The sequence below is a fragment of the Homo sapiens genome, chromosome 7 (assembly GCF_000001405.40).
Source record: "Homo sapiens chromosome 7, GRCh38.p14 Primary Assembly".
Taxonomy (NCBI): Eukaryota; Metazoa; Chordata; class Mammalia; order Primates; family Hominidae; genus Homo; species Homo sapiens.
In genome coordinates, this window is record NC_000007.14 from 97,996,875 (window position 1) to 98,019,868 (window position 22,994).

General features: G+C 46.9%; 1 pseudogene; it reads left to right on the plus strand.

The window, feature by feature from the left end:
• On the plus strand, positions 1,451-1,748 carry RN7SL478P (RNA, 7SL, cytoplasmic 478, pseudogene; annotated as a pseudogene).

Here is a 22,994-nt window from a genome sequence, read left to right on the forward strand (position 1 = left end):
ACCGTCACTACCCCAGCCCAAGCCACCAGCATCTCTTTTGGGAATGGAAACAACCGTGGTGGCCTCTTAACCCTTCTCCACTCGGGGTCACCTCCAACCTAGCCAGGTGGGTTTTGAAAAAACCCAAGCATGGCTGGACTGGGTGGCTCATGCCTGTAATCCCCAACATTTTAGGAGGCCGAGGCGGGAGCATTGCTTGTGCCCAGAAGTTTGAGACCAGCCTGGGTCACAAAGCAAGAACCCATCTCTACAAAAAATGAAAATAACTAAATAATTATCCAGGCTTCTGGGCTTGAGTGGTCCTCCTGCCTCAGTCTCCTGAGTAGCTGGGACTACAGGCATGTGCCACCACCCCAGGCTGATTTTTAAATTAAATTTAATTTAATTTAAAAAAAAATTTCTTTTTGAGATGGAGTTTTGCTCTTGTTGCCCAGTCTGGAGTGCAATGTCAAGATCTAGGTTCACTGCGACCTCTACCTCCCAGATTCAAGCGATTCTCCTGCCTCATCCTCCCAAGTAGCTGGGATTACAGGTGTGCACCACCACACCCTGTGACTTTTTTGTAGTTTTAGTAGAGACAGGGTTTTACCATGTTGGCCAAGCTGGTCTTGAACTCCTGACCTCAAGTGGTCCACCCGCCTCAGCCTCCCAAAATGCTGGGATTACAGGTATGAGCCACTGCGCCTGGCCTTAATTTTTTAATTTAATTTTTGTACATTCAGGGTCTGGCTCTGTCATGCAGGCTGGAGTGCAATGATGCGATTGTGGTTCACCGCAGTCTTGACCTCCTGGGCTCAAGCCATCCTCCCTTCTTGGCCTCCCAATGTGGTGGTATTACAGGTGTGAGCCACCGTGCCCAGCCCCATCGTCCATTTTTATCTTCGGTCTTTCATTGGCACATTCCTTGTCACAGTGTAACTATTCAATGAACACATTTGAGCAGTGAATGAACTGGCTCTCTGAATCTGAGTTTCTGCATCCAGCCATCTCTGTGTAGTGACGTGGGGGATGGGGTGGGATCCAGAGTTATGGGAGTGTTTATTTATAAATGAGATACTTCTCTACGAGTGGATTTCCTTTCCCACTCACAGACTGAGCAATAATTGGTTAAATAAGTTTACACATGGGGGTTTGGGACAAGCTCCTTCGTGAAACGAAGTGACTGCTATTTACAAACGAAGACCGTAAAGTGTCTTAGGGCTGCGTGAAAAGGACAGCTTGTGTGTTTCCCAATGGAATGAATGAATAACAAGGATGGGGGATCCCCAGGAGCGCACAGCCCCCATCTATAAGAGCTGACCTCTCCTGGGTTTACAGCTTTGATTACCCACGGGGCAGGGCAAAATGCATCCCTCGTGACCTATGGTGGGTGTGGAAATGGCACAAGTCCCCTAATTACCGCTGGCCCCGTAATCTGTGGGCTCCGGTGCACGGTGAAAATGCAAGTCCTGCCGGGCGCGGTGGCTGGTGTCTGTAGTTCCAGCTACTTGGGAGGCCGAGGCAGGAGGATTGCTTGAGCCCGGGAGCTCTGGGCTGCAGTTCGCTCTGCCGATTGGGTGTCTCCACTAAGTTTGGCATCAATATGGTGACCTCCTGGGTGCAGGGGACCATCAGGTTGCCTAAGGAGGGTGAACCAGCCCAGGCTGGCAACGGAGCAAGTCAAAACTCCTGTGCTGATCAGTAGTGGGATTATGCTTGTGAATAGCCACTGCACTCCAGCCTGGGCAACATAATAAGACCCCATCCCTAAAAAAAAAAAAAAAGAAAAAGAAAAAAGGAAATGCAAGTCCTCTTGTTCAAAGAATTTCACTATGGGGGCCTCAGCGGATTGAATCAAGTGTGCAGGCTTTCTAAGTGCAGGACCCTGAAGACCACAGGTCTCACACCCGTGAAGCCTGCCCTGCTTCACAGTGTGTGCAACACTGCCCAGTTCACCAACATGATGTTGTGTCATTTAACCATGGCAACAACTCTGAAATATTATTATCCCCGTGATGAACAAGGGAGAGATATCCCAGGTCAGGCAGGGTGCGGTGGCTCAAGCCTATAATCTCAGCACTTTGGGAGGTTTGCTTGAAGCCAGGAGTTTAAGACCAGCCTAGGCAACAGAGTGAGACCCCTATCTCTTTTTTTTTTTTTTTTTTTTGAGACAAGGACTCACTCTGTCACCCAGGCTTGAGTGCAGTGGTTCAATCATGGCTCACTGCAGCCTCTGCCTCCTGGGCTCAAGTGATCCTCCCACCTCAGCCTCCCGAGTAGCTGTGACTATAGGCACACGCCGCCACACCCAGCTAATTTATTTTATTTTTTGTAGAGACGGGGAGGGGGGTCTCACTATGTTGCCCAGGCTGGTCTCGAACACCTGGGCTCAAGCCATCCTCCCGCTTTGGCCTCCCAAACTGCTGGGATTACAGGCGTGAGCCACTGCGCCCGGCTTTCTGGGCATTTTAATTTGTGGATTACCATGCCTGTTATCCCAGCTACTGGGGAGGAGGCTGAGGCAGGAGAATCGCTTGAACCTGGAAGGTGGAGGTTGCGGTGAGCTGAGATCGTGCCATTGCACTCCAGCCTGGGCAACAAGAGCGAAACTCGGTCTTTAAAAAAAAAAAAAAAAAGATATTCACCAATTAGCGTGATATTTACAAGAATTTCATGTGGTAGTTGTGATAGTTAATTTTGTATGTCAATTTGAGTGGGCCATGGGGTACCCAGATTAAACATTGGCTAAGACTGCATACTTATGTTAACATGCGTTAAGCCTCTGTGCTGATATGTCAAGCACTTCTGTACTCAGCAAAGCAGCAAACATTTTCCACAAGATACCTCACTGCTCAGAACATTAAGGCAGGTATTGATGCTCCCATTTTACAGATGAAGATAAACTAAATTTCAGAGATTAGATGGCCAGAACGTACCAGCCTTCAGATGTGTGCTGAAATCTCTGGTTCCCTGATTTTCCTACACGGCCTGGACTAATGGCTTATTTTGTAGGACACAGAGCTCAGAACCCCAGTGAGAAGAAATTATTATTAATAAGGGCTTGTTCTGGCCCCAGCCAATGGACAGGCTGCTATGAGAATGCATAAAGAATTCTGCAAAGGCTGAGGGCAGTGGCTCACGCCTGTAATCCTGGCACTTTGGGAGGCTGAGGCAGGGAGGATCGCTTGAGCCCAGGGGTTCGAGACCAGATTGGGCAACATAGTGGGACTCTGTCTCTAAAAAAAATTTAAAAATTAGCCAGGCGGGGTGGTACAAGCCTATGGTCCCAGCTATTCAGGATCCTGAGGTGGAAGGATGGATGGCTTGAGACTGGGAGATTAAGGCTGCAGTGAGCCACGATCATGCCACTGCACTCCAGCCTGGGTGACAGAGCGAGACTCTGTCTCCAAAAATATAATAAAATAAAATAAAATAAAAATAAAAATAAAGGATTCTGCAAATGTCAGCCTACTCCTCTGCCCAAAATATATAATAACAAAGAAAACAAAGCAAAGATGTCATAGCTATGGTTTTGTTGCTATGAGAATACTCTTGTCAAGGCTGGAGGATGGCACAAACATACTGTATTTAACCACTTGTCAGTTTCACTTGCAATTCACACACGTGGCACGTGGGCCTCTGTGCTCTTGTCCTGGGTCAGCCAATGTCAGGGGCGGGAGCGAGGGTACGAATGCTTCGAGAATGGACCCGGCAAGTTGAATGCTTCCGAGAGGTTAGGATGAGGCCGCCAGGGTGAGCACGTGCGGATGATGGGTGGGGCGGTGAGTTGTTGCTGGGTAGTGCAGAAGAAACTGTTCTGGGGTAATGCACGTGGGTGCAGGTGGGAGGGGACTGGAGAAGGGTGCAGGTGGGAATGAGATCATAGGGGAGGATACAGTGCTGCAGGAAATATATTTTTTAAATTTTTAAATTTTATTTTTATTTTTAGATGGAGTCTCTGTTGCCCAGGCTGGAGTGCAGTGGCGCCATCTCGGCTCACTGCAACCTCCGCCTCCCGGGTTCAAGTGATTCTTCTGTCTCACCCTCCTGAGTAGCTGGGACTACAGGCGCACACCACTATGCCCGGATAATTTTTGTATTTTCAGTAGAGACAGGGTTTCACCACTTTGGTCAGGCTGGTCTTGAACTCCTGACCTCAAGTGATCCGCCTGCCTCGGTCTCCCAAAGTGCTGGGATTACAGCCATGAGCCACCATGCCCAGCTAGAGCTGCAGGAAGTATTTTAAGACTCCAGCTGCCAATGGCCTTGGGGAAGGGGTAGGTTCACAGGTGGGTCTAGGAGGGCCTGGCACCCCCTCGTGGGGAACATTCATGGTTCCTGAGTTCCTCTCTTCTCTCTTTTCTTCCTGCAGCTTTCTGTTAGTACTGTATTCAGAATGCCAATGGTATGAAGTCAACCCAGCTATTTAGAACTTAGGACTCAGTCGTTTTTGTTTTGTTTTGTTTTGTTTGTTTGTTTGTTTGTTTGTTTTGAGACAGAGTCTCACTCTGTTGCCCAGGCTGGGGTACAATAGCGCGATCTCGGCACACTGCAACCTCTGCCTCCTGGGTACAAGCAATTCTCCTGTCTCAGCCTCCCAAGTAGCTGGGATTACAGGCGTACACCACTATGCCTGGCTAAGTTTTGTATTTTTAGTAGAGACAGAGTTTCACCATGTTAGCCAGGCTGGTTTCGAACTCCTGACCTCAGGTGATCCACCTGACTTGGCCTCCCAAAGTGCTGGGATTATAGGCGTCAGCCACTGTGACCGGCCTGGACTCAGTAGCTCTTGGCATGAGTATTGGTTTAGCTGACTTTCTGGGTAGCCCAGAGCTGTTATGGGTGTCAGACTTCACATTCCCAGTGCCTTCTAACTGACTCTCAAAGGAAGACAGAAGCTACATCATTTCTTATCCAAATGCTGCAGGAGAGGAAAATTCCTTAAAATTATCTGAGAGACTATTGGCTATGTCTTTTTTCCCCCTCACTCTTAGACACTTGCTCTAAATTACTCAGTGAAATTGATGGCAAAAGCCCTTTAGACCTTTGGCTGGCTGTGTCTTCCTGAGCTTACTAGAGCATTGTTGGGGGAAGAAAAGGCTGAAATAAAGATGAGAGTGGCTGGGCGCAGTGGCACACACCTGTAATCCCAGCACTTTGGCAGGCTGAGGTGGGAGACCATTTAAAGCCAGGAGTTCAAGACCAGCCTGAGCAACATAGTGAGACCCCCATCTCTACAAAAATTAAAAAGTTCACCTGGGTGTGGTGGTGCATGCCTGTGACTCCAGGTACTCAGGAGGTTGAGGCAGGAGGATCGCTTGAGCCCAGGTGGTTGAGGTTGCAGTGAGCTGTGATCTTGCCACTGCATTCCAGCCTGGGTAGGCCCTGTCTCCAAAAAAACAAAACAACACAACAACAACAACAACAAAACACAGTGAAGCTAGAAATGAAAAATACACTGGATGGGATTAGCAAATTAGACACTGAAGAAAAAAAGAGTAATGAGTTTGAAAACAGAGCAATGGGAAAGAGGCCAGGCACAGTGGCTCACTCCTGTAATCCCAACACTTGGGGAGGCTGAGGCGGGTGGACCACTTGAGCTCAGGAGTTTGAGACCAGCCTGGACAACATGGTGGAACTCCATCTCTACAAAAAAAAATTTTTAAATGTAGCCAGGTTTGGTGGTCCCAGCTACCAGGGAGGATCACCTGAGCCCAGGAGGTCAAGGCTGCATTGAGCCAAGATTGTGCCACTGCACTCCAGCCTGGGCAATATAGCAAGACCCCGTCTTAAAAAAAAAAACAACCCCCCAAAACAAAACCAATCCCCTCCCAAACACCCCCACATCGCAATAGAAAAGATACAAGCTGAAACGCAGAGAGAAACAATTCTGGAAGAAATAAAACCACACATCAGTGAGCTATTGGACAACTTCAAGTGGCCTAATATACATGTAATTGGAGTCTCAGAGGAAAGGAGAAAGAGGAAGAAACAGAAAAATATTTAAAGAAATAATGGCAGAAAATTTTCCACATTGGATGAAAGTAGGCTCGAGAAGCTCAATGAACCTCCAGAAAAAATAAGAGGAGGAAAAAGGAGGAGGAGGAGGAAGAGCCAACATGTATAAAGGGCGCATTATTATAAAATTGTTTAAAACAAGTGATAAAGAGAAGATGAAGATCATAAAGGCAGCCAGAAAAAAGAGACACAATATGTTCAGAGGAACAAAGAAAAGATTGACATCAGACTTCTCTCTCTCTTTTTTTTTTTTTGAGATGGGGTCTTGCTATGTCGCCCAGGCTTGTCTTGAACTCCTGGGCCCAAGCAATCCTCCTGAGTAGGTGGGATTACAGGTGCATGCCACTGCACCCAGTGACATCAGACTTCTGATCAGAAACAATACAGGCCAGAAGGCAAGGAGGAATTTTTCTTAAAGAACTGCAAGAAAAATGAACAAACTATTGCAGACGGACACAAAGATTTTGCTTCTCTTAGCAATTGGAAATCACCTCAACGTCCAATGTGCGGGGATTTGTTAATTGATGGGCCATAAAAAATAAAAGGATAGTCTACAAGTCTACTTAATGATACGGAAAAATATCCACCACATATTGTAAAGTGAAACAGGCACTATGCTAAATGCATTTTGTAAATTGGAAAATATATATTTATAGACACAGGATGGCGGTTATAGGGACTGGACCTTACACAATTGTGGGAGCGGGTCACATGGTAACCAGTGCCAACCTCCACCCTCCACAGATATGTCTTCTTGCTCACAATAAACTGGAAATAGGCAGGGAGGGGAATTTTAGGAAATGCAGTCCCAGTTTTGCTAAATTGACACAATACAAATCCACCACATATCAGTAAAAGGCTACAGAGAAATTCACCCAAATGGTTTTAGCAGTTATTACTGGGAGTTGAGTGAGTTTAAATTCTCAGTACACAGGTCAGATGTGAGAAAATCAAACAACACATTTGGTTTTTTAATATAATAAGTCAATCTAATTTTCACTCCAATCCCTCCCATCCTATCAAGGAGGTAGGAAATTCAACATCCTTCCTTCCCTCACTCCCTCCCTTCCTTTCTAACTTCCTTCCTTCCTTCCTTCTTTTCTTCCTTTCTTTCTTCTTCCCTCCCTCCCTCCCTTCCTTCCTTCTTCCCTCCTTCTCTTCCCCCCTCCCTCCCTTCCTTCTTTCCTCCCTTCTTTCCTCCCTCCCTCCCTCCCCCCTTCCTTCCTTCTGTCCTTCATCTCACTCTGTTGCCCAGGCTGGAGTGCAGTGGCACAATCATAGCTCAGTGTCACCTTGAACTCCTGGGCTCAATGGCTCCTTCTCACCTCACCCTCTAAAGTACCTGGGACTACAGGCGCTAACCACCACACCCAGCTAATTAAATTTTTTTTTTGTAGAGATGGGGGTCTTGCTATGTTGCCCAGGCTGGTGTTCAGCTCCTAGCCTCAAGCAATCCTCCTTTTTCAGCCTCCCCAAACACTAGGATTGCAGGCACGAGCCAGAAAAATTTCTGCACCCAGCAGAAAAATACTGGACTTTTGTACAAATACCTATACTATTCATGAATAGCTTTTAAACTGCCCCGAAATTATGGGACTGAAGTGATTAAAATCTTTATCCAAATGAAGACAACTCTATTATTATCAAGAGTGTGGCATATTTGACCTACATCTAGATGTGTATATGCATTTTCTTTTCCGAAAATGAATAAAAGAACAAAAGATTTCAGTATTGTTGTTACCTATGTATTAAATGCACAGTTAAACTCACTGTCTCTAAATGCACAGGGTATGTGTTCCCCAAGCCCAGAACAGTTCTCTGGGACTTCCAGGTCACAGCTGAGTATGTTGTATTTCATGAATTTAGTGTTCTCCCATCGCTAGAGGTGACTCATGTTTATTAATTAGGTTGGTGCAAAAGTTATTGTGGTTTTTGCATTATTGCAACTGTAATATAATTTTGCAATTATAACTTTCGCACCAGCCTAATAAAAAAACGCCTTGGCTGACAAGCTATGGGAATGGGATGGCCACCATAAATGACCTTCACGGTGTTCTAAAAAGCAGTGGCTTCCAGTTCAGAAGGGTTTGCTGCCCTCTGTCTAATGAGTTGGGGTTCTCTTTTCTCCTCCACGTTCTAGGGTTTTGATGCCTCTTAGCATCACCATCTCTCATTTGGGGAGCAATTATGAATCTTTAGTAAAAGCTCAACTTTTTTAAGAAGCAAAACCAGCAAGAAAATTCAGCATGTCCCGGTTTTCTAGACGGCATCCTCAAAGATCACACCCAGGCGCTTAATAATTTAGCCTTTTGGGCAAAGTTCTCATTAGAATAGATCAAAAACATGAATAATGCAGGCATTTGCAAATCACACTACTCGTCGGCCGACACTGGCCAGGAAACACCTGAAGCACTTGCAGAGGGGCTCAGGGTGACTAGATCGGGTGACTGGGTCATGATGACACCAAATTTGGTTAATGGGAATCCCAGGTCATATCCAATGGTATCAAACTACAGCCGCTGCCCACTGTCTTCCGCAGGTCTTTTAAGTCAAATGTCTCATGCCAGTCAAAATTCCTGCCAGGAAATCACACTCTATTTCCCTAGTTCTTTTTTTTTTTTTTTTTTTTTTTTTTGAGAGGGAGTGTCACTCTTGTTGCCCAGGCTGGAATGCAATGGCACGATATCGGCTCCCTGCAACCTCCGCCTCCCGGGTTCAAGCAATTCTCCTGCCTCAGCCTCTCGAGTAGCTGGGATTGCAGGCGTGCACCACCACACCCGGCTAATTTTGTATTTTTAGTAGAGATGGGGTTTCTCCATGTTGGTCAGGCTGGTTTCGAACTCCCAACCTCAGGTGATCCGCCTGGCTCGGCCTCCCAAAGTGCTGGGATTACAGGTGTGAGCCACCGTGCCCAGCCTATTTGATATATTCTAATGAGAACTTTGCCCAAAAGGCTAAATTATTAAGCGCCTGGGTGTGATCTTTGAGGATGCCATCTAGAAAACCGAGACATGCTGAATTTTCTTGCTGGTTTTGCTTCTTAAAAAAGTTGAGCTTTTACTAAACAATCATAATTGCTCCCCAAATGAGAGATGGTGATGCTAAGAGGCATCAAAACCCTAGAACGTGGAGGAGAAAAGAGAACCCCAACTCATTAGACAGAGAGCAGCAAACCCCTTCTGAACTGGAAGCCACTGCTTTTTAGAACACCGTGAAGGTCATTTTTCCTCCTTTTTTTTTTTTTTTTTTTTGAGACAAGGTCTCCCCCTGTCACCCAGGCTGGAGTGCAGTGGTGTGATCACAGCTCACTGCAGCCTCATCCTCCTGGGCTCAAGTGATTTCCCCTACCATAGCATCCCCCCCAACCAGTAGCTGGGACCACAGGCACACACCACCATGCCTGGCTAATGTTTTATTTTTTGTAGAGATGGGATCTCATCATGTTGCCCAGGCTGGTCTCGAACTCATGGGCTCAAGCGACCCTCCTGCCTCGGCCTCCTGAAGTGCTGAGATTTCAGGCATGAGCCACAGCACCTGGCCCCCTCTTTGCCCCATTGTTCTCCAGATCATTCTTGCATTCCTGATCTCCTTCTCAAACCCCAACATGTCTTCATCCTCAGCAGATGACCTTGCCTTCTCCTTAACTGAGAAAATAGTAACGACTGGAAGAGAGTGTCCCCAGGTTCCCTAGACAACATCGGCCCTCTCCCAGCGTCTGCATCCACTCACTCTGCCTTCCTGCCTTAGCTATAAAATGAACCATCAGGCCGGGTACGGTGGCTCACGCCTGTAATTCCAGCACTTTGGGAGGCTGAGGCAGGCGGATCATGAGGTCAGGAGTTTGAGACCAGCATGGCCAACATGGTGAAACCCCATCTCTACTAAAAATACAAAAAATTAGCTGGGCGTGGTGGCGCGCACCTGTAATCCCAGCTACTTGGAAGGCTGATGCAGGAGAATTGCTTGAACCCAGGAGGTGGAGGTTGCAGTGAGCTGAGATCATGCCATTGCACTCCAGCCTGGGTGACAGAGCGAGACTCCGTCTCGAGAAAAAAAAAAAAAATGAACCATCCACATCCTATCTAAAGCCAGCCCCTCCACCATCTAAACTGGATTCCATTCCTGCCACCCTCTCAAGCACATCACTCCAGGTACTCCCCCCTCCCTCTCCTGTGCCATCAATTTCTCTCTCCCTAATAGATCTTTCCCATTAACATAATATTAACTGAAAAAGGGACTGAGGCATGAGTCCCCATTGACTGAGGTTGATGCAGCAGTTTGAGGACACGCCCAGGAGGAACATCAGCCACAGGAGCATCTGTGACCTGTGAGTTTCCAAAGAGGGTTTGGGGACTTCACTATTTAAAGGGGAAAGAGCAAGCAGGAGGGATAAAGGAAGGGAGGGTAGGCAGAGAGGCAAATGGTCCCATTCTCTCAAGGCTCTGATTAGCGATCAATAAATCTACATTTTACATGTCAATGAGGCATTTGTCTCCAGCTCAGGAAATCTACATTTTACATAAGGTAAAGTAAAACATGTGAAAAAAGGAGTAAAGAGTCCATGATGCATTCATCTTGAGCTCAGTAAATCTGCATTTTACATAAGATAAACATATGAAAACAGGGAGTAGAGGAGTCCATGTTGCGTTCATCTCAAGCCCAGTAAATCTACATTTTACATAAGATAAAGTAAACATGAAAAGAGGGAGTAAAGAGTCCATGATGCATTCATCTTGAGCTCAGTAAATCTACATTTTACGTAGGATAAACATGTGAAAAGAGTAGAGGAGTCCATGATGCATTCATCTTGAGCCCAGTAGATCTACATTTTACATAGGATAAACATGTGAAAAGAGTAGAGGAGTCCATGATGCATTCATCTTGAGCTCAGTAGATCTACATTTTACGCAAGATAAAGTAAACTTGAAAAGGAGTAGAGTCTGTGATGCATTCATCTTAAGCCCAGTGAATCTACATTTTACATAAGGTAAATGTGAAAAGAGGGAGTAAAGAGTTTATGCTGCATTCATCTTGAGCTCAGTAAATCTGCATTTTACATAACAAAGTAAACATGAAAAGAGGGAGTAGGGGAATAGGGCCATGCTGCATTTATCTCAGGGTAGGTGGAAGGATGATTTATGGTCTTGTCCTTGTCCTATCCATGTGAAAATAAGCTGGTAATTGACATTGTCAGTGTGAGATTTAACAGAACTTGCTTTTAGGGCTAGTTTATAGGGGGAGATATATCCTGAAAGAATTAGGGTCTCACTTTGTGAGCAACTTGTGAGGGAGCCATCTGGGAAGATACGTAACCTTCTATCTTGGTGGGCACCTGGCTTATGCTTGAGGCTAGGACATGGGGTTATGAAAATATAGCTCTCCGTTTGGGAACAAAAGGGAAGGCAGTAATGCATGACTCAGTTTCCAAGCTTGACTTTCTCTTTGGCATAGTGAGTTCAGGGTCCTGATAATTTATCTTCTTTCACAGTACAAACATGCTGGTGTATGGATCCTATCTTTAAAACGAACTTCCAATATGGATGGCAAACGAGCACATGAAAAGATGCTTAATGTTATTCATCCTTAGAGAATGAAGATTAAAGCCACCGTGAGGGCCCAGTGGCACACACCTATAGTTCTACCCACTCAGGAGGCTGAGGCAGGAGGATCACTTGAGCTCAGGAGTTTGAGGCTGTAGTGTGCAATGTTCGTGCCTGTGAATAGCCACTGTACTCTAGCCTGGGCAACATAGCAAGACCCTGTCTCTAAAAAATTTTTTTTAAATTAAAAACTAGGCCGAGTGTGGTGGCTGATGCTTGCAATTTCAATGCTTTGGGAGGCCGAGGTGGGAGGATAACTTGAGCCCAGGGGAGGATAACTTGAGACCAGCCTGGGCAACATAGCGAGACCCTGTCTCTAACAACAACAACAAATTATAAATAAATAAATAAATGAATAAAACCACAATGAGATGCCAACACACATTAATGAAAATGTCCAAAATGAGGAGGGCTGACCCATGCCAAGCACTGGTGAGGGAGGAACTGGAACCCTCCTTCCCTGCTAAACTCACTTTCCTCTGAATAAGAAATGCATTACCCAAGTACTTAGCAACTCTCTTGGCTCTCCTTCCACTCTTCAACATGTTTTCCTTCCTGAATGTAAATTTCCTTTGGAAAACACAGTGGAAGTGTCTATCACATGACGCAACTGGTTCTATTCCAACTTCCTCCCCAAGAACCGGGATTTTTTTTTTTTTGAGACTGAGTTTCGTTCTTGTTGCCCAGGCTGGAGAGCAATGGTGCGATCTCAGCTCACCGCAACCTCCGCCTCCTGGGTTCAAGCCATTCTCCTGCCTCAGCCTCTCAAGTAGCTGGGATTACAGGCAAGCGGCACCAAGCACGGCTAATTTTGTATTTTTAGTAGAGATGGGGTTTCACCGTGTTGGCCAGGCTGGTCTCGAACTGCTGACCTCAGGTGATCTGCCCGCTTCGGCCTCTCAAAGTGCTGGGATTACAGGCGTGAGCCATGGCACCGTGCTCGGCCAGAACTGGGATTCTTAAAGCACATCTCCCTCCCATCCTGCTAAAAACCAGCAACAACTATAACCACCACCACCTGTGGCACACACATTTGGTGTCAGCATTAGTGAGCCACCTCCAGGCTACCCCATTTGAGGACTTCTTGCCAAGAAGTTCTCCAGCAGTTTTCACCCAAAACCTGTTCTTGCTGTTTTTGCTCTCTGGCCAACTCTGTGGTCACTAAATCAATGTTTCAGTTTTTGAGCAGGAACAATAAGAACATATATATATACACACACATATCGGGAGAGCCCCAAACTGCTTAGGCACATGTGAAATGCTATAGCAGAAAAGAAACAAAATGCTATAGGACGCTGATTTTTTCATGAACAAGAAATATGAGCGGCTCCGTCTCAACTTACGGATGAGCTGGAGGCAACATTTAATGAAGACTTAAGTGAGTTAATTAAGGAGAAATTGCAACTAAACCCCACATAATGAGAGAGCCGGTATCTCTCGCTCCAGGGTCCCGTATTTTTATCTATCTGCACTTGTCCATGATGTGGGTTCTCTTTGTGGGGGGTCTCCTTGTATTGGGCAGACATCCCCATGAGATTCAGAACCCAGGAAAAACCATCCAATAAAAAAACACTGGCCGGGCGCAGTGGCTCACGCCTGTAATCCCAACACTTTAGGGGGCCAAGGCAGGTGGATCACCTAAGATCAGGAGTTCAAGACCAGCCTGGCCAACATGGTAAAACCCCGTCTCTAGTAAAAATACAAAAATTATAGGTGGGAGCCTGTAATCCCAGCTACTCGTGAGGCTGAGGCAGGAGAATCGCTTGAACCTGGGAGATGGAGGTTGCAGTGAGCCGAGATCACGCCATTGCACTCCGGCCTGGACAACAAGAGTGAAACTGTCTCAAAAAACAAAACAAAACAAACAACAAAAATCAACAAAAAGAAAACCATCAAGGAAGAGACGTTGTCACCCAAAAGCTTCAATGAGCCAGGCGCGGTGGCTCACGCCTGTAATCCCAGCACTTTGGGAGGCTGAGGCGGGCAGATCACGAGGTCAGGAGATCGAGACCATCCTGGCTAACAAGGTGAAACCCCGTCTCTACTAAAAATACAAAAAAAAAAAAAAATTAGCCGGTGTGGTGGCAGGCTCCTGTAGTCCCAGCTGCTGGGGAGGCTGAGGCAGGAGAATGGTGTGAACCCAGGAGGCGGACCTCGCAGTGAGCCGAGATCGTGCCACTGCTCTCCAGCCTGGGTGACAGAGCAAGACTGTCTCAAAAAAAAAAAAAAAAAAAGAACTCTCATGTTGGCCAGGTGCGGTGGCTCACGATTGGAATCCCAGTACTTTGGGAGGCCGAGGCAGGAGGATTGCTGCAGGCCAGGAGTTTGAGACCAGCCTGAGCAGCAGAGTGAGACCCCATGTCTACAAAAATGTAAAAAGTTAGCTAGGCATGGTAGCGCATGCCTGCAGTTCCAGCTACTTGGGAGGCCGAGGTGGGAGGATTGCTTGAGCCAAGGAATTCATGACTGTAGTGAGATACAATTGTGCCACTGCACTCCAGCCTGGGTGACAGAGAGAGAACCTGTCTCCAAAAAATAATAATTTAAAAAAACCCTCATGTTCTTATCTAGATATGACCTTGAATGTATAGAAAGAAGCTCAGGAGACAGGATATCCCATCCTATCTTGGGCTTTTCTAGCTGTCTGCCCTTGGGAAATTCACTTAATCTCTCAGAACATCAGTTTTCTTATTTTTATTTTATTTATTTATTTTTTGAGAGACAGAGAGTCTCTCTCTGTGCCCCAGGCTGGAGTGCAGTGGTGCCATCCTAGCTTACTGCAACCTCCACCTTCTAGGTTCAAGCAATTCTCGTGCCTCAGCCACCCGAGTAGGTGGGATTACAGGCCCATACCACCATGCCCAGCTAATTTTTGTATTTTTAGTAGTGATGGGGTTACACCATCGCTACATTTCTCCTGGCTATCGTTGGCCAGGCTGGTCTTGAACTGCTGACCTCAAGTGATCCACCCACCTTGGCCTCTCCAAGTGCTGGGATTACAGATGTGAGCCACCATGCCCAGCCTGATGTCAGCAAATTCTTTTTACCAACCCTCCAATCGACCACTTCTTGGTGCTGGGGCTCTGACACCTTGCTCACCTCAAGTGATCCACCTGCCTCAGACTCAGGAAGTGCTGAGATTACAGGTGTGAGCCACCATGCCTAGCGAGTTTTCTTTTTTTTTTCTCTCTTTTGAGATGTAGTTTCTCTCTTGTTGCCCAGGCTGGAGTGCAATGGCACGATCTTGGCTCACAGCAACCTCCGCCCCCCGGGTTCAAGCGATTCTCCTACCTCAGCCTCCTGAGTAGCTGGGATTACAGGCAAGTGCCACCCCGCCCAGCTAATTTTTGTATTTTTAGTAGAGACGGGGTTTCACCGTGTTGGTCAGGCTGGTCTCAAACTCCTGACCTCATGATTCACCCGCCTCAGCTTCCCAAAGTGCTGGGATTACAGGTGTGAGCCATCATACTTACCCTTAACATGCTCATATTTTCATTTACCTTCTTGAACACATCAAATAGTTGTAGTAGCTATTTTAATCTCTTTATTAATTCTATCTTTGTCATTTCATTTCATTGGTTTTTCTCCTCTTCCTGGGGTATAATCCTTGCTTCTTGGCATACCTGGTGATTATTACTTTTTAGAGACGGGATCTTGCTGTGTTGCCCAGGCTGGAGTGCAGCGGCACCACCATAGCTCACTGCAGCCTCAACCTCCTGGGCTTCAGCGATCCTCCCACCTCAGCCTCTCATCTGGTGGGGCCTACAGGTGTGCACCACCGCACCTGGCTAATTTTTTAGTTTTACTTTTGTAGAGATGAGGTCTTGCTATGTTGCCCAGTCTGGTCTTGAACTGCTGGCCTCAAGCAATTCTCCTGCCTCAGCCTCCCAAAGTGCTGTGATTATAAGTGTGAGCCAACACTTCCTGCCATGCCTGGTGATTTTTTACTGGACACCAGGTATTGTGAATTTTACCTGGTTGGGTGCTGAATATTCTTGTTTAAAAAATATATTCTTGAGCTTTATTCTGGGACATGGTTAAGTGACTTGGAAATGGCATAATCCTTTTTTTTTTTTTTTTTTTTTGAGAGGGAGTCTCGGTCTGTCACCCAGGCTGGACTGCAGTGACACAATCTCGACTCACTGCAACCTCTGCCTCCTGGGTTCAAGCGATGCACCCACCTCAGCCTCCCGAGTAGCTGGGACTACAGGTGCGCACAACCACGCCTGGATAATTTTTGTATTTTTAGTAGAGACGGGGGTTTCACCATGTTGGCCAGGCTGGTCTTGAACCCCTGACCTCAGGTGATCCACCCTCCTCGGCCTCCCAAAGTGCTGGGATCACCGGCATGAACCTCCGTGCCCAGATGCATGGTCCTTTTGAGACTTGCAGAACCCTTAGTCTAGGGCCAATTCTGCCGCACCACGAAAGCAATACCCCTCTGAATGCTTGACTCAGTGCTCTGTGTATTACGAGGTTTTTCACTTTGCCTGCTGGGAACACGAACGGTTCCCAGCTTTTTGTAGACTTTGGAATTATTCTGCCTGTTTCTATTGTGTGATTCCTTCCCCTGGTCTTGCTCGGATAATTTCCTCCATGCGTGAGCTGATCCCCCTCAGCTTCCGAGTCAAGAGGTTTCCTTTGCAAAGCTGCAGAGTTTGGTTTTTTTTGCATATCTCTCTTGCGGGATTCCATCCTGCAAATTCCAGCTGCTTTGGCCTGCTCAAACTTTTTTTTTTTTTTTTTTTTGAGATGGAGTCTCACTTTGTGGCCCAGGCTGGAGTGCAGGGGCGCGATCTCGGCTCACTGCAACCTCCGCCTCCCAGGTTCAAGTGATTCTCGTGCTTCAGCCGCCTGAGTAGCTGGGATTACAAGCATGCACCACCACGCCCAGCTAAATGTTTTGTATTTTTAGTAGAGACAGGGTTTCACCACGTTGGCCAGGCTGGTCTCGAACTCCTGACCTCAAATGATCCACCCACCTCGGCCTCCCAAGGTGCTAGGATTACAGGCGTGAACCACTGCACCTGGCCAGGCCTGCTCACACTTTCAGCTCTGTCTCCTGCACTCAGGGAGACCACTGGGCTCTGCTCGGCTGCCCTCCTCCCGCAGCAGCTGGAAACACTTTGCCTCATTGGTTTCTCCCCTAACAGAGATCACGGTCTTTAGTGCCACCTATTGACCGGTGTCTAAAAACTGCCTTTGCGTATGTGTTGTACGGTTTTGTAGGTATTTAAGGCAAGAGGGTTAATCCATCTTGGCCATAAGTTGGGGAAATCTCCACAATTTTTACAACATTTTGGGAGGCTGAGGTGGGAAGATTGCTTGAGGCCAGGAGTTCGAGACCAGCTCGGGCAACACAGCAAGACCCCCGTCTCTACAAGAAAATAAAAATACTAAAAGTAGCTGAGCATGACAATGTGCGCCTATAGTCTCAGCTATGTGGGAGGTTGAGGTGGGAGGATTGCTTGAGCCCAGGAGATCCAGGCTGCAGTGAGCCATGTTCGCACCACTGCACTCCAGCCTGGGTGACACAGTGAGACATTGTCTCAAGAAAAAAATAAAACATTTTAAGTTCCTGGAAGGGTGAGTTAAAGGCTATATAAAGAATTAAAGCTTTTTTAAAATGACATTCCCAAATTATTGGTCAAAAGGGAGCAGTGGGCTGGGTGTGGTGGCTCACACCTGTTATCCCAGCACTTTGGGAGGCCGAGGTGGGCAGATCACCTGAGGTCAGGAGTTTGAGACCAGCCTGGCCAACATGGCAAAACCCCATCTCTACTAAAAATACAAAAATTAGCCGGGCGTAGTGGTAAGCACCTGTAATCCCAGCTACTCAGGAGGCTGAAGCAGGAGAATCACTTGAACCCAGGAGGAGGAGGTTACAGTGAGCCGAGATGATGCCATTGTGCTCCAGCCTGGGCAACAAGAGCAAAACTCCATCTCAAAAAAAAAAAAGTGCATATATGTGTGCATGCAACAGAATACAGAATATTTATTTCCAGAGGAACCCTGACTTCTCCAGCCTCCTCGGTTTGTCCTTCTTTGTGGGCATGAATTACGCAGCTGCCTATAGATGTCACCAGAGGAAGGCACATCAGAGGGAATAAAAATCCCAGGGTGAGAACCACAGCACCGTGGCAGAGGGCACAAGCATGAGTGGAAAGGCCCTGTGTCAAACACAGAAGAGGGCTTTGTTTTAAATCAAGACATCTTGGCAAGGCCTAATGGCTCACACCTGTAATCCCAGCATTTTGGGAGTCTGAGGTAGGCTTGAGCCCAGGAGTTAGAGACCAGCCTAGGCAACATAGCGAGACCCTGTCTCTACCAAAAAAAAAAAAAAAAAAAAAATAGTTGGGCGTGGCGGCATGCATCTGTGGTTCCAGCTACTCGGGAGGCTGAGGCAGGAGGATCACTTGATCCCAGGAGTTTGAGGCTGCATTGAGCTACGATCACATCATTGCACTCCAGCCTGGGTAACAGAGTGAGACCCTGTCTCAACTAAAAAAAATAAAATAACATAAATAAAATAAAATAAAGTAAATTAAAATAAATAAATAAAATGAAGAAATAAAATAAAATAAAAACATCAGTCCACAGAACCCAAATCTTCACCCAAGGTAGAGTGACAACCTTACTAAAACAAATATTGTCATCAGCAACTGAACTAAACATGGTCCAAGGGAAGAGTGAATGAGGAAAGATTTGGTTATGCTCAGGGATTTGGACTAGTTTAACTGAGGTCAAATTTTTTCAGATTTTTCTTTTCAAAAGCTGGTTCTGGAGCGGAGTTCAGGAGCATGTTCTTCATAAAAAGTCTCTTTGTGGGTCGGCCCTGGTGGACGGGATTTCATTAATCTCACCAACCTCATTATCCAACATGCTGAATATGTAGCATCGATCAATGAATGAGATCCTCGGTCTCATGAAGTCAGCTTTCTGGGGAAGGAGAAAAGAAACACAAATAAACAAGGAAATAAACACCCAAGGTGGAAACAAGACGGCGTGAGGGTCAGGTTCCTTGAACTCACGTTCTTTTTTTTTCTTTTCTGAGACGCAGTTTCACTCTGTCACCCAGGCTGGAGTGCAATGGCGCGATGTCGGCTCACTGCAACCTCCGCCCCCCAGGTTCAAGTGATTCTCCTGCCTCAGCCTCCCGAGTAGCTGGGATTACAGGCACCTGCCACCATGCCTGGCTAATTTTCTTATTTTTAGTAGAGATGGGGTTTTACCATGTTGGCCAGGCTGGTCTCGAACCCTGACCTCAAGTGACCCACCCGCCTTGGCCTCCCAAAGTGCTGAGATTAGAGGTGTGAGCCACCACACCCAGCCGAGCTCACGTTCTTGAGTCACCCTCTGTCCTTTATAGAGAAGCAGTTTGGAGATTTCGTCCTGTGTGTCTGAGGCCGGGTGCTATGGCTCACGCCTGTAATGCCAGTAATCTCAGCACTTTGGGAGGCTAAGACGGGAGCATTGCTTGAGCCCAAGAGTTTGAGGTCAGCCTGGGCAACATAGTGAGGCTCTATCTCTTCAAAAAATAAAAAATTAGCCAGGTGTGGTGGTGCATGTCTGTGGTCCCAGCTACTCAGGAGGCTGAGGCAGGAGGATCACTTGAGCCCAGGAGGTCGAGGCTGCAGTGAGCCATGATTGCATTACTGCACTCAGCCTGGGCAACAGAGCAAGACATTGTCTCAAAAAAAAAGTATCTGAATCTCTTTTTGGCAAAGTAATCTGACATGTTTCTTGTTTCAAAGAATCAGCTTATTTTCAACCTGAAAGCCAACTAACTCTCACAGGGGAATACTGTATGTGGTGATTACTGCAGTGTGTGTTTGTGTGTTAAAGACTGCTTTGTCATGCAGACTACAGCTCCAGCCTCACCTCGCTGTAATTTACTGTGGATATTTTGCATTATGTAGGCAGCACCTTGTACCCAACAGAAAAGTTGGTGGGCGGGGCAGGGGAGGGAGGTGGGTGGGGTCCAGCCCCAACCCAGGTGTGCTATAAACTGGCTGACCTCAGATGAACCTTGTTATATTGCTGAGCCCAGGTTTTCTCAACTACAACCATAATAATAAGACTTTGCCTCTAAGTTGAACATGGGGAATAATGACCGTATGAAAATATAGACTCAGCCTGGGCAACGTCGTGCGACACCTGTCTCTGCCACAAATTTAAAAATTAGCCAGGCACAGTGGCTCACGCCTGTAGTCCCACTGCTTGGGGAGGTAGAGGCAAGAGGAATGCTTGAGGCAAGGAGTTTAAGACCAGCCTGGGTAACATAGCGAGACCCCATCTCTACAAAAAAGTTAAAAAGTTAGTGAGGCGTGATAGCATGTGCCCGTAGTCCCAGCTACTTGGGAGGCTAAGGCAGGAGGATCGCTGGAACCCCAGAAGTTCAAGGCTGCAGTGAGCTATAATCGCACCACTGCACTCCAGCCTGGGTGACAGAGCAAGACTATGTTGCCTCTGCTGGTCTCGAGACACCCTTGTAGTCTGCTGCCTACTGCATGTAGGATGTAGTTACATTGATAATCTTCATTGTTTTACAGATGGGGAAACCGAGGCTTGAATGATTTACCCAAAGTTAGCAAATGGTAGAGCTGAGACTTGAAGCAAGCTGACTCTAGCATGTTCTTCTCAACTCTCTGGAGACAAGGAGCTCAGAACCCAGTGGCCTGGCTGCCTCCAGGAGTGAGGAATGGGAAAAAAAAATTGCAACCTGGCTCACTGTTTTGTCTCCAGTGGCAAGAAAGAGACAGAAATGGATATTTCAAGATGTTGTTGTTGTTATTGTTGTTATTATTATTATTATTATTATTATTATTATTATTATTATTATTGAGGCAGCATCTCACTCTGTCTCCCAGGCTGGAGTGCTGTGGTGCAATCTTGGCTCACTGCAACCTCCACTTCCCAGGCTCAAGTGATCCTCCCACCTCAGCCTCCCAAGTAGCTAGGACTGCAGGCACGTGCCACCACATCCGGCTAATTTTTTTTGTAGAGATGGGGTTTCACCATGTTGCCCAGGCTGGTCTCGAACTCCTGAGCTCAAGTGATCTGCCTGTCTCGGCCTCCCAAAGTGCTGGGATTACAGGCATGAACCACCGTGCCCAGCCAAGACATTATTCTTTTGTAAAGTAAACATAGTTGCTCTTAGCATATGGTTCTCAATTGATGGGGGTGTGTGTGTGTGTGTGTTTGTGTGTGTTCTCTCTGGAAAAGTTTTCTCTGGGAGAAAATTCTAGATTTCACTGTTTTACATTTCAAAGTTGCCAGTTTGTTAAAAAATCAGGCTGAGAAGGAACACGTTAGGACAAAAATGTGAAAGACTGTCATTAAAGCAAGCAAGACCAAGGATGGAATTTTACAGACTTTGCAGAGAATTCTTGGATCAACCTATGGACGCGGTGGCTGGTTTTAACAGGAGCTGCAAAGAGTCTAATCCCTTTCGTCACAAATGCATCTGGGGACAGAGCCTGATTTCCTGCTGCCCTTGGGGGACTTTTTAACCATTTTTTTTCTCCAAGTTTAGAGTATACATCAAATCCCAGGTCCACACTGACCCCTACTCTGGGCTGGAAGGGCCTGACCTCTCCCAAGAGAGTGGGGGTGGAAGAGAAGCTGGGAAATACAAAGTCATTTGATGGATGTGACACTGGGCACAGGTTGACCATCAAGCCAGGGAGGAGGCCTTTATGCCCGAAAGCCCCTGAGCCTGTTCCAGGGATGGGGTGAACCACTCCTCTACCCACCCAGGCTTGCCTAGGTGTGTCGTGTGCCAAGGAAGCTTCAGGGAAGAGAGAGGACAGAGAGGGGTTGGATGTCTAAGAGTCGTTTAGTAAAGTGAACAGAAAGCGAATGTTCCAGTCTGGGAAAGTAAAATCACATGAAAGAGGAAAGCGGATTGTCATAGAAGGTCGAGGCCCGGGCTAGGGAAGGGAAAAACCACATGCTCAAAATCCTGGTCAATGCGTGTCCACCTTAATGGGAGAGAAGCACCTTCCTCCATTGTGGGGCCAGGGCAGGGCCAGAGCCCCGGCTGGGAGTGGATCCTACACTTGCTTTTTTTTTTTTTTAATTATGGTAAAATATGCATAACATAAAATTTGCCATTTTAGCTATTTTTGAGGGTACAATTCAGTGGCATTTATTACATCAAAAATATTGTGCAACCGGGCTGGGCATGGTGGCTCACGCCTGTAACACCAGCACTTTAGGAGGCTGAGGCAGGCAGGAGGTCAGGAATTCAAGACTAGCCTGGCCAACGTGACAAAACCCCGTTTCTACTAAAAATACAAAAATTAGCTGGGTGTGGTGGTGTGCACCTATAATCCCAGCTACTCAGGGGGCAGAGGCAGGAGAATTGCTTGAACCTGGGAGGCGGAGGTTGTGGTGAGCCGAGGTTGCGCCACCATACTCCAGTTTGGGCAACAGAGCGAGACTCTGTCTCAAAAAAAAGAGAGACAGAGAGAGAAATAAACAAAATATTATGCAACTGTCACCACCATCCATCTCCAGAACTTTTCCATCTTCCCAAACTGAAACTGTCCCCATTAACCCTCACTCTCCATCCCCCTTATCCCCAGGCTCTGATAACCAACATTTTACTTTTTTTCTGTCTCTATCAGTTTGACTATTCTAGGTACATTATATAAGTGGAATCATGCTGTATTTGCCATTTTTTTTTTTTTGGAGTTTTGCTCTTGTTGCCCAAGCTAGAGTGCAGTGGTGCAATCTCGGCTCACTGCAACCTCTGCCTCCTAGGTTCAAGCGATTCTCCTGCCTCAGCCTCCTGAGTAGCTGGGATTACAGGCGCGCACCACCACGCCCGGCTAATTTTTTTGTATTTTTAGTAGAAACGGGGTTTTGCCATGTTAGCCAGGCTGGTCTTGAACTCCTGACCTCAGGTGATCCACCCACCTCAGCCTCCCAAAGTGCATGAGCCACCTCGCCCGGCCTTTTTGTTGTTTTTTTTTGAGACGAGTCTCACTCTGTCATCCAGGCTGGAGTGCAGTGGCACAATCTTGGGTCACTGCAACCTCTGCCTCCTGGGTTCAAGTGATTCTTGTGCTTCAGCCTCCCAAGTAGCTGAGATTACAGGCGTGCGCCGCCATGCCAAGCTAATTTTTTGTATTTTATTAGAGACAGGATTTCACCATGTTGGCCAGGCTGGTCTCAAACTTCTGACCTCAAGTGATCCACTTTCCTCCGCCTCCCAAAGTGCTGGGATTACAGGTGTGAGCCACTGTACCCGGCCATATTTGCCTCTTTGTGACTGACTTATTTCCTCTCCTCCGCTCCCTCCCTTCCTTCCCTTCTTTCTTCTTCTTCTTCTTTTTTTTTTTTTTTTTGAGACAGGGTTTGGCTTTGTCCCACAGGCTGGAGTGCAGTGGC